Source organism: Homo sapiens, chromosome X (genome assembly GCF_000001405.40).
Source record: "Homo sapiens chromosome X, GRCh38.p14 Primary Assembly".
Lineage (NCBI taxonomy): Eukaryota > Metazoa > Chordata > Mammalia > Primates > Hominidae > Homo > Homo sapiens.
Genome location: NC_000023.11, coordinates 77,685,604 through 77,697,839, shown reverse-complemented (window position 1 = coordinate 77,697,839; position 12,236 = coordinate 77,685,604). Strand labels below are relative to the sequence as shown.

The following is a 12,236-nucleotide window of genomic DNA, read 5'->3' as shown; positions in this document are numbered from 1 at the left end:
TTAGTTTTAATTTTTATTTTTTTGCATCTGTGTTCCTTATGTGGTAGAGAATTAGTTTTTGAAGTTCCTTTTAGAAAAATATTCTAGGCACATAAATAGCATCTCATTATATCACTGTATTGAAGTTGCTATAGGGAAATAGCTAATTGTAGGGATGCCGTTTCGAGAATTTTATTCACTTTTATATTTATGTCTCACATCTAGGGAACTAGCTCTTCAGAAAAATCCAAGTCTTCAGGATCGTCACGATCAAAGAGGTTGGTTGATGTTGAAGGGACAAAAAGTTATTTTCTTTTTCAGGTTATTTTCTGTTTCTAAAACCATGTTTTTTTCTGAACTCATGTCAACCACTATTCTGAGTTAACTATTCTATACAAATATACATATTTGAAAATGATTAGCATAATATAATGAATCCCTTTGTATCTATCACCTGATTTCAACAATTATTATTCATTCTAACTTTGAATTCTAAAGGGTTTTTAAGGATTTATTATATATTAGTGGCCCTTGCAATATGTAGTTTATTTCATTAGACAATATATGTCCTTGAAAAAGGACAAAATAATTGTTGAATGCCTATGAGGCAGTGGGTTTTTTGGGTTATATGAAATTGTCTAGGATGGGAAGTTAGTCATCATAGTTGTAAGTTATAAGGAGAAAAAAGAGTGGTAAAAAACACTTTTTTCTGCTAAATTGTCAACTCAAGTCATACATAAAAACTGAAACTTTTCTAACATAATGTAGTACCCAATATACTATGCAGTATAATTGTTATTAGAAGTTTGCCGCTTAGTCTATTGGACTTTCATTGTTTCTAACCAGTGGGAATGTCTCTTAAAAACCAAGCTTGTTTGATATTAATTTATTCTCTGAAGTAGTGATTCTTAAAGAAGAGTGTCCTCCAGGGTCTCCCTGGTAGCTTTTTCAGAATGCGTATGCCTTGGTCCTGCTCCAGACCTACTGAATCATAATCTTCAGTGATATGGTATAGACATACATGCTTCCCTAGGTGATTCTGATGTGCTTCCTTGTTGAGACCCACTGCTCAATCTCAACATGTTATTTATGTTCTTTGGGTATTGTTCCAGTTGTCAGAAACATTCATAATTCTATGAACTTAATTCTTTCATAGGAAACCTTCAATTGTAACAAAGTATGTAGAATCAGATGATGAAAAACCTTTGGATGATGAAACTGTAAATGAAGATGCGTCTAATGAAAATTCAGAAAATGATATTACTATGCAGAGCTTGCCAAAAGGTAATGTGTGTTAATTTTTCATGAAGTTAAAGTTGAAATGAATTTTTAAACATCATTTTTATAAAATTGGAACTTGATTACTGTTAACTATGTACAAACGACCAAACATGGCATTTTCCTAGTGGTTGTCTAGAAATATATTTGTATGCCAATGATAATATGTGTTATTGAAGTTAAAAATTTGGAATATTCAGTTGGTTTTGTAAAGAATGAAATCTATTTTTTTCTTTCCTTTGAGTTTTAGACAAGGGGCTTTAGTTTCCAAATTATACTTCAGTGTGTAAGCAGGTTTAAAAATTTAATATATTAGGTTTTGGTTCAGTCAATGTTAATGTGCTTGCTTTATACAAAAATGTAATGACTGTTCCTGAAAACTTAAAAATCATGTACAGTCTAGTTTAGTCTTATTGCATTCTTAAATTCCCTAAGGCTAAAAGCTGAAGTTAACTATCATAGATAGATTTAGTTGTATTTCTTGCTGTTATCTTTTTTAAAAAACTTTGTCACATACCTCTCAACTGTTGAAGTTCTAACCATAAAACCTTGTTAATAAGAATAGGGAACAATAGCCAAATGAATATCTTGGACTCTTCATAGCTCAAGTCTGAGAGCAATATAATTGGATGATGAGAATGACAGGGAACTTGGTTCAAAGAGTCAAATTTTAGATTTTTTTTCTTTGTTAAATAATATGTTGTAGTCTCTTGGCACATTTTTCAAATTCATTCTCATAGATCTTTTACAGCAGTGCTTATTAAACCTTGTTCCCTGTCTATGTTTTTATGACATATTTTCAAATTATGGAAGTTTAAAAAATACAGTAGGTAGGAGGGATGGGACTTTCCTTGACTAGGATAAATTAGAAGTTACAAAAGGTGATAAATGAAATGAGGAAAGGAAATTAATGAAAGAAGAGAGATAGGGGCCTACCGCTTACTTAGTTTTGCAAATCATTTATGACAATTTTATGTAATGGTTTTGGTGGCCAAGGGCAGAAACAACTAACATGGGAGTCTAAGTCCCATAGGTGGTGACTTACTTTGGATTTTTACATTCTCAGTGGTTGTCACTGGGAGTGTTTATGATGTAAGAAATAGGAATTCAAACTTTTGTTTTAATTGTACTGTGGAAGAAAGTCAGCATATGATGTTACTAACCTGAACTATGCCTAATTCTGTCAGACCAAAACAAAAACAGACCCGTTTCATAAGGTTAAATTTGGGTGTTTATATTATTGTTGTAATATTTATTGAGTATGTATAAGTACCAGGCTCTTACAGAATTAACTCCTTTAATCCTCAAAACAACACTGTAAGGTAGTTATTATTTTGCTTGTAGAGATAAAGGAACAAATTCAGAACCCAAGGAACTTTTTCAGCTTTAAATTGAGAAGCTAAGATTTCAACCCAGGTCTGCTTGAATCCAAAGCCTAGTGAGTGCTCTTTTCACTCTGCTGCTTTGCTTCCAATTCTCCCTAGAAGAAATCTAGGGAGAATTCAGTTTTTTTTTTTTTTTGTCGTTGTTGTTAATTTAAAATCTTTAGTTCTTTTCAAATGCTGGGGCTTCTCTGAGTGTCTACATGCAATGATTGCTGTGAATAACTTTTTTTTGGTGGGGATTATTTAATTTTACTACAATCTGTAAAATCTCAATCATCTGTGTCCTCCCCCCCCCCACCCTTTCAGAGACTCAGAAACTCATTTAACAACTAGATGCTATAACTTGTCAAAATTTGCTTGTTGAATAACATAGAGCCATATTTCAGAGAAAGCCCCTGGTGACTACCTGCTTTTTTTTCCTTAATTGTTGCCAATGATAGCCAGTTACTAAGCCCAGCAATGTAGGTAAACATTGAAACCTAAACCCTTTTTACTATGCCTGTCTTATTTGCTCTTGAGAGAACTAATGAAAACTTAAATTGACAGCCTCTCTCTTCAATTCACATGTTTTATAGTTAAGGAAGGACATTCTTTCTAAAATATTAACATAGGGATCAACAAATGATCTCATTCTACAATTTATTGTTAGGGTACTTCAGCTAAAGTATCTTAATCTGTTAAAACTCTTTAAGGACTTTACAGAGTAGTGAAACTTTGACATACCAGTTGGGAAATGCTGCAGTATAGATACAGGAGTAATAGAATGAACTTCATTTCCCCCACCAATACCCCTCCCTTGCAATATAAAACTACCCTTAAAAATCTTTCTGAGTTTATGATTTGGATTATGAAAATAGGATGTCTTTAAAAATTTTTTCCCTCTGAACCACACATATTTTATGAATTCTTTATGGAACTTAGCATAGATGTTCATATTCATAACAGCTTTTGTGATAGGCACTATAAAAATTCAGAACTGGGTTGAGGCTTTCTGTTTGATTCACACATTTGTTTTGTAATCACTCCATAATACCTCCCTTTCCTGTTTTTATGAACTATATTTCAACAAATAAACTGTTGACACCTGGCCCTTTTACTATTTCCCTGTTTTATTTACTTTTGTGAGGTCCTTACACCAATATCTAAAGCTTGAAAGAAACAAACTATGTACCAGCAATGTTGGCTTTATCTGAACTGAAGTCTTGTACTTCACTTGCACATTTAATATGTGTAATGGTTTTTTAAATGAAATCATTCTAGGTACAGTGATTGTACAGCCAGAGCCAGTGCTGAATGAAGACAAAGATGATTTTAAAGGGCCTGAATTTAGAAGCAGAAGTAAAATGAAAACTGAAAATCTCAAAAAACGCGGAGGTAAATACAAGTGAAAATGAAACATGAATTTAAATTGCTGTTTATGACCATATTGGAAAATCGGATGTGCTTACTAAAAATACCTCCACTTTTCTGCCTTTTGTTTATTAAAAGCACTACTTAAATATAACTTCTGTTTCTCTCTGAGCTCTGAAGCAGAAAAGGTTAAGCACCATTTATCGAAACACCTTTGCCTTCAGTGGCTATTAAGTTATCTCAAGAAGCGTAGCATTTCCTTCTTCCACATGTTCTATAATACATATATGCCATAATACTATGTTTTCCCCCCAACCCTAAAATAATTTTAGATTCATGCAAAATCTTGTCTGTGGCCTACAGGTAACTTTATATATATTTAGAGTTGGATAGAGTGACGTACATCTGCATTAGTATTAGTTGGGGTATTATAAATGCAAGTCCCTTGACTCCACTCCTCACAAATTAGAATTTCTGTTGATGAGGTCAAGAATGTACTCCAGTTTGTTCTTGTGTACACTGAAGTTTCAAATCCACTAATCTAAGAATGGCAACATGGACATAAGTAGGAAGGAGTAGGGAGCTAGAGCTGATAACCCTCCCTCTGTCTTCCAGAGGCACCTCTCCCTTTGTCTGTCTATCTTCCCTTAAACACACAAACGGTGGGGAGTGGTGGCTCACACCTGTAATACCAGCACTTTAGGAAGCCAAGGCAGGAGAATTACTTGAGTCCTGGAGTTCGAGACCAGCTTGGGCAATATGGTGAGACCCCATATCTACAAAAAATAAAAATATCAGCTGGACATAGCGGCGCATGCCTGTAGTCCTAGCTATTCTGGAGGCTGAGGTGGGAGGATCACTTGAGCCCAGGTGATCGAGGCTGCAGTGAGCCGTGATTGCACCACTGCACTGCAGCCTGGATGACAGAGTGAGACCCTGTCTCAAAAAAATTAAAACACACACACACACACACACACACACACACACACACACACACACACTCTAATATTGGCTAACCATCTATAAAAAGTTTGCATCAGAAGGATTCATTTAGAAATAATAGTGGACTATGTGTCCCACTTGTTTGTGTGTGATTCTTAAATGGTGCCTATATATATTTTGGGGCAGCTTAATAAAGCCAGAATTCATAACTATAAAAGGAATGAATCTCCAAATGATAGAACATGACACTAAATTTCTAAGTAGAAGTGTAGTGAAAGCATATCCATTTAATATTGATCAGATTATATAATTGTGAAATTATAGTGAAGTTCTTATATTGGTGAAATTTTGTGTGGATTTTTATTTTAATGCTATGATTATCTTGCTGGAACCAGTAAAATATATCTATTTTTATAACATATTTTATATATTCATTTTCCGATTAAATAATTTGTAAGGTTGTTGGCAAAAATAAAGGAAATATTATATAGTCTTTTGTCCACAAAGGGGTAGTCAACTCCTTTTGAGCATAAGGAATCTTTCTGAGAATCTAGTTCATGGTAGGGAAACTGCCATTGCAGCAACAGAGCTCATTAAAGCTAAGGTAGTAGTCTTAAAATTTAAGAGAATCCTCAATTATAAAGTGATGGTAAAGATCAGTAGTAAGAGTTTCTTTCCTCTGATCATAGGTTCTCTAGAGAAGACAAATAACTAAGTGTTCTGCATTGTGTACACTTAGTGTACAGAGTGTCTAAATGGTGTTATTTTTGGGAAGGGACCCTGTAGCAGTCAGTGTCTGAAATGTGGATAAGGGCTGAAAGAATAAAAGAACCACTGTTGTTGACGAGGGTATTCCTAGTGCCACTTTGGTATGCTGCTGACATTTGGTCTCAGCTGATAAGTTTCAGGAACATTTTATTGAATGATCTGTGTAGGAATGTTTTGGTATCACGCTTAAGGGAATACATGCATTTATAGCCATCAGTAGCACTTAAATCTTTCACATCTATTTTCATCTTAATGATTTGTTACATTTTTAAGCTGTCAGAAATCACACAGGAAATTTAACACTAGGTTTACTTTATATACACATATATAGATAAATTGGTGATCTGAAATACTGAATTGGTGTAGTTAATATTTAAACTTTTTAAGAAAGCTGGTTCCAAATTGAAGCCTAACTTAGGAAACTGTCAAGAATGTAAACTTTCTTGTATTACAAGAAATGTAAGACATTACAAGAATGTAAGACAATATATAAAGTCTTATATTGATTTGGAATAATATTATAACACAAAGATACGGTTAAAGTTAACATTTCAGGAGCTGATTTTTTAAAAAATTTTCAGTATCATACCCTATTTTGACATTCTCTTCCCAGTTTAATTGTTAGAAAGTATATTTTACACCTAACTTTTTTACATGACACAATAATTTTGTTCTATTTAAAACCATTAAAATCTATTGAGCTCAGAAATGAAAATGCCTCTTTTCCATTTATACCCTGTGTTACAATTTTAAATATATTTCATAATTAAAAATAAAAAATTTAAACATGTATACAGCAACAAGTACATAAAGTAACATTTCAACATTTTACCATATTTGCTTCAGATCTCACTTAAGTAAAATATTGGTTCAGTCCTACTCTCATCCATTTCCCCTTCTTCCCACCCCACAGGTAATGATTATATTGAAGTTTTATGCATGTGCATGTGTGTGCATGTTTTTCTATGTTTTTTATATATGTATTCATAAAACATTTTTCATTTAAAAGTATAACAAAATAATATGCTGTATATATCATTTGGGAACGTTTTTCATTTAACATTGTTTTTGAATTGTATTCATGTCAGTAAATGTACATCTAGTTTGTTTATTTTTCACTGCTCTATAGAATTATGTTATATCAATAAGCCACTATTCATTTCCCACATAGGAAGTTATTCCCAATTTTTCATTTTCTAATTTTCTAATTAGTGCTGTGGTGAATATCCTTATATTTGATTCCTTGTGCACATGTGGGAGAAAATCTCCAAAGAATTACCTAGTTTTGTTTAATTCTTGAGCGATGTATGCACCAAAGCACATAGAAGATACTTAGTAAGTATTACTTAACACTGGATGAACATTCAGATTCTACATTTTATTTATCTTGTTAGTTTATCTGAATGAAATCATTGTTTGAAATGAAAAAGTATGGTGTGGTGTATTTGTTTCTGTTAAAACAAATACAGAATATATGAATACCCAAGATCAAACTGGTGTTTGTAAATAATGTGATTATAATACATTAGGCTTGTAATGCCTGCTATTAGGTAGGTTGAGATAGGAGGATTGCTTGAACTCAGGCGTTTGAGGCTACAGTGATTTATAATTGTGCCATTGTACTCCAGTCTGGGTGATGGATTGAGACCCCATCTTTAAAATTAAAAAAATAAATAAATAAAAATATTAGCAACATAAATAGTAAACCTTCAAGTTTACTTTTCTAAAAAAGTATGATGGTGTTCTTATACATTAACGTTTTTAGCTTCTGGCTAGGTGTGGTGGCTCACACCTGTAATCCCAGCATTTTGGGAGGCTGATGCCAGAAGATTGCTTGAGCCCAGGAGTTGGAGACCAGCCTGGGCAACACAGTGAGACCCAGTCTTTAAAAAGAATTAGCTGGGTGTAGTGGTGTATGCCTATAGTCCCAGCTACTCAGGAGGCTGAGGTAGGAGGATTGCTTGAGCCTGGGAGGTAGAGGCTGCAGTGAGCTGAATTTGCACCATTGCATTCCAGCCTAGGTGACAGAGTGAGACTCTAGCTCTTAAAAATTTTTTTAAAGTTTCTACAAATAAAAATATTCATGATAATATTTGGGTCCATGGCGCTTTGGACCTTAAACCTAACAGAAACCCAAAAGAGAAAATTAAAAGGGTGAAAAATATATGTGATGTTTTGTTTTTTATTTAAGGATGGAGCCAATTTGTTTTTTAGTTGTCTCCTTTTTATTTGTGAATGTAAGCATTTTGAGTGACTTCTGAATTATAATCTACCATCTTATTTTGATCAAGGTCTTGGTTGCACATCAGGATCATCTTTGAAACTTTAAGAAAATGCCTGAGAGATTTTAATTCAGTGGTTTAGGGGTGGGAATGGCTGTTTTTAAAAAGATTCTTCAGATGACTCTAATGTTTAGCTCAGGGTGTGAAACACTGCCTTAGCAGAACTAGGGACAAGAGGGAGGCTGGAGAGGTTTCTGTAGGTTTTCTTCAGTCTGTTTATCAGGAGACAGTACAGAATGGGACTCTGCCTTTTTCCCCCAGTCGTTCTGATGTTTTGCTGCCAAAATAGATATACCTGCAATGTCTTGTTTGTCTTTATTTGGAAATAGTAGACAGTATTGATATGGAGTGGATAGTGGAGTACACATAGAAAAAAGGCAGTTTAATGACAATTTATGTATAGTGTTGAAGTAAATATTAGCAAGGAAATTGGTAATATCATAAAATTACCAAGTTTTTACATACCATATTGATAGGATCTGTGCAGACAATTCCAATGAGAATAAAAACCTTTATGGCATACTTAAGTGTAGGATTGCAAAAGAATCTGTTCCGTATATGTTACTTACTTCCCCATTCTTTAAGGACTGATACTGAATTTATTTGCAAAGCAATAACAAAATAAGAGCTCTTGGCCCCTAGTTTTAGAACTTTTTATGGGTTCTCTTAATGTTATTTCAAGTTGTAAAAAATGGCATTTGCATCTGTAAAAGGAAACAATTAGGATTTGTAACTTGGAATTTGCCAAGGTTGTCATGTGCTTAGTAAGTCGATAAAATATTAACCTTTTTTACTTGTGTCCAATATGCCATTTTTCTAAGGATTATGAGGTATTTCATGTCTAATACAAAAGTTACAAAATGCTGACTAAAGTAAGTATCTTTTTCTGTGTATAAATGTGTGAATAATAGCCACTCCTTTCTCCTAGAAGATGGGCTTCATGGGATTGTGAGCTGCACTGCTTGTGGACAACAGGTCAATCATTTTCAAAAAGATTCCATTTATAGACACCCTTCATTGCAAGTTCTTATTTGTAAGGTATGTAATGATCTGTTGATATTTCATACCGTAAATATTTGAATGCTTACCATATACCAGGCCTTTGAGGGCACAGTCTTGAAGAAAGATGAAAATGGTATCTGCCCTTGGAAGACTTCTACTATAGTGGGGAAAATAGACGTACAAAGCCTAAGTGTCATGATAGGGGAGATACTGTGATTATGGGAGCACACCGGAAGCCTGTGTAAATAGGATTTGGATGGCTTTCTAGTGGAAAGCTGTATGTGAAATATGAATAAGAATCAGCCTGGTAAGTGAGATTGGTTCATCATGTTCTGGGAAGAGGCAACATAGTATTCAGATACTGGTAGTTGAGGGAGAGCTTGGTGTGTTTGAAAATCTCAAGAGTGGATGTGTGTAATGTTTGTGTTTTATAATCTTTCCCCTTATATATCCTACTTCCCCAAATGTAAACTATCTATGTGGAGCAGGGTTTTGACATAACTTGGAGATGATAGAATTAAAAATGTTTTTTATGTGTTGATTATAATTTTAACAGTCTGTGCCACTTTTTTGTTAGTAATACCTTGGAGTTAATTTTAAATATCTATAAATGTGGGCCTGGCATGGTGGCTCATGCTTGTAATCCTAGCACTTTGGGATGCTGAGGCAGGTGGATCTCCTGAGGTCAGGAGTTCGAGACCAGCCTGGCTAACATGGTGAAACCCCGTGTCTACTAAAAATACAAAAAATTAGCCGGGCATGGTGGCGGGTCCCTGTAATCCCAGCTACTTGGGAGACTGAGGCAGGAGAATCGCTTGAACCCGGGAGGTGGAGGTTGCAGCGAGTCGAGATCGCGCCATTGTACTCCAGCCTGGACAACAAGAGGGAAATTTCGTCTCAGTAACTACCTACCTACCTATAAATGTCAAGGTTATGGTTTTCTTAACTCATATTCCTGCTAAGATTAATCCTATGTTAGTTTGTTTCCCAATAAAAAGCTGCCTTTGAAATGCAGTGGCAGGCCATGTTTTCCTTGGAATTCTAGCTCTAGATCTTTTCTTGCATGAATTTTTGATAGATTCAGACATGCTTAAATGAACTGTACTTTGTTCTTTAGCAATTTGTATCCCTCCTTTCCTTGAATTCAGTTCAGCCAGGGGCCTATCTAGGGTATGTATTAGAGAGTTTCATTTTAAATTGTGACAGTAGAATCTAATATTGCTGGATTTGTGACATGTATTTGCCTTTCTGTTTTCTTATCTATGTGATTGTCTTTTTTCAAGAACCAGTCTGTTGAGCCTAGGCCATTTCACTAATCGGTAGTTTGTATCAGTGAGCACCTTTTCCCTTTCTGCAGTCCCACTGGAAAGACTTTGAAGTCAGTCAAACTTGGATTTGAATAACAGCTTTGCCTCTTACTAGTTGTATGACTTTAGATTTATTTACATATTAATGAAAGTTAGCCTTTTCTCTCATAATATGTCCTACCTTGCATGGTAGGTATTTGGTATTTAAAGATAATATAGATTAATTGTTTAGCTGTATACATAGTAGCTGTTTGTATATGGTGGCTATTAAAATTGTTAAGTACCCAAATCTAATACATTTTTATGTAGAGCTTTAGTAGCTAGATGTATGAGACCAGAAATTAGCTTTACTAAAATCTTTTGTAAACTTTTTTTTTTTTTTTTTTTTTTTTTTGAGACGGAGTCTTGCTCTGTCGCCCAGGCTGGAGTACAGTGGCGCGATCTTGGCTCACGACAACGTCCACCTCCTGGGTCAAGTGATTCTCCTGCCTCAGCCTCTCGAGTAGCTGGGATTACAGGTGTCCACTACCACACCTGGCTAATTTTTGTATTTTTAGTAGAGACGGGGTTTTACCCTGTTGGCCAGGCTGGTCTTGAACTCCTGACCTCAAGTGATCCACCCATCTCAGCCTCCCAAAGTGCTGGGATTACAGGCATGAGCCACCAAACACCCAGCCAAAAATCTTTTATACACTTTTAAATAAGGAATAGTGGTACTTGAGTGTATGGAAATCTGTTTCAAGGCATTAATTCTTGAGATAGTTAGATGTCTGGAAAATACAGACATTGGGTAGTGGGTAGCAGTGTTTATTTTATTTATTTATTTATTTTTGAGGCGGAGTGTCACTCTGTTGCCCAGGCTGGAGTGCAATGGCGTGATCTTGGCTCACTGCAACCTCCGCCTCAGGGTTCAAGTGAGTCTCCTGCCTCAACCTTTAGAATAGCTGGGATTACAGGCGCTTGCCACCACGCCCGGCTAATTTTTGTATTTTTAGTAGAGACTGGGTTTCGCCATGTTGGCCAGGCTGGTCTTGAACTCCTGACCTCAGGTGATCCACCCTCCTCGTCCTCCCAGAGTGCTGGGATTATAGGCATGAGCCACTGTACCCGGCTGCAGTAGTGCAGTGTTTTTGCTTTGAGTCTCTGAAACATGCACACATACTCCCTTTTTTAAAAAAAAATTGTTTGTATTTTTAAAATTTTTGTGGGTTCATGGTAGGTGTATATATTTATGGCATACATGAGATGTTTTAATACTGGCGTGCAATGTAAAATAAGCACATTGTGGAAAATGGGGTATCCATCCCCTCAAGCATTTATCCTTTGAGTTACAAGCAATCTAATTACATTCTTTAAGTTATTTAAAAATGTACAATTAAGTTGCTATTGACTGTAGTCACCCTATTGTGCTATTAAATAGTAGGTCTTATTCTTTGTATTTTTTTGTACTCATTAACCATCCCCACCTCCTCCCTATCCCCTCACTACCTTTCCCAGCTTCTTGTAACTGTCCTTCATGACATCCTTCATTAGTTCATCCATGAGTTCAATTGTTTTGATTTTTAGATCCCACTTATAAGTGACAACATGCAGTGTTTGTCTTTCTGTGCCTGGCTTATTTCACTTAACATAATGATCTCCAGTTCCTTCCATGTTGTTGCAAATGACAGGATCTCATTCTTTTTTATGGCTGAATAGTACTCCATTGTGTATATGTACCGCATTTTATTTATTTACTTATCTGTTGATGGGCACTTAGGTTGCTTCCAAATCTTTGCTATTGTAAACAGTGGCCCAACAATCATAGGAGTGCCAGTATCTCTTTGATATACTCATTTCCTTTCTTTTGTGTATATACTCAGCAGGTGGATTGCTGGATCATACGGTATCTCAATTTTTAGTTTTTTTGAGGAATCTCCCAACTGTTTTCTATAGTGATTGTA

General features: G+C 35.2%; 1 protein-coding gene across 11 annotated transcripts in view; it reads left to right on the top strand.

Moving 5' to 3' along the window:
* Positions 1 to 12,236, top strand: part of ATRX (ATRX chromatin remodeler) — a 281,337-nt gene that overhangs the window by 88,377 nt on the left and 180,724 nt on the right. For 5 of the 11 annotated variants that reach the window (XM_005262156.5, XM_005262154.6, NM_000489.6 and 2 more), the window contains 4 exons: positions 205 to 257; positions 1,136 to 1,263; positions 3,903 to 4,016; positions 8,913 to 9,022. In XM_005262156.5, coding sequence (XP_005262213.2) covers positions 205 to 257; positions 1,136 to 1,263; positions 3,903 to 4,016; positions 8,913 to 9,022 — 405 coding nt within the window. The remainder of the gene's footprint in view (positions 1 to 204; positions 258 to 1,135; positions 1,264 to 3,902; positions 4,017 to 8,912; positions 9,023 to 12,236) is intronic. The other 6 variants (XM_017029601.3, XM_005262153.6, XM_005262157.6 and 3 more) reach the window with 3 other exon arrangements.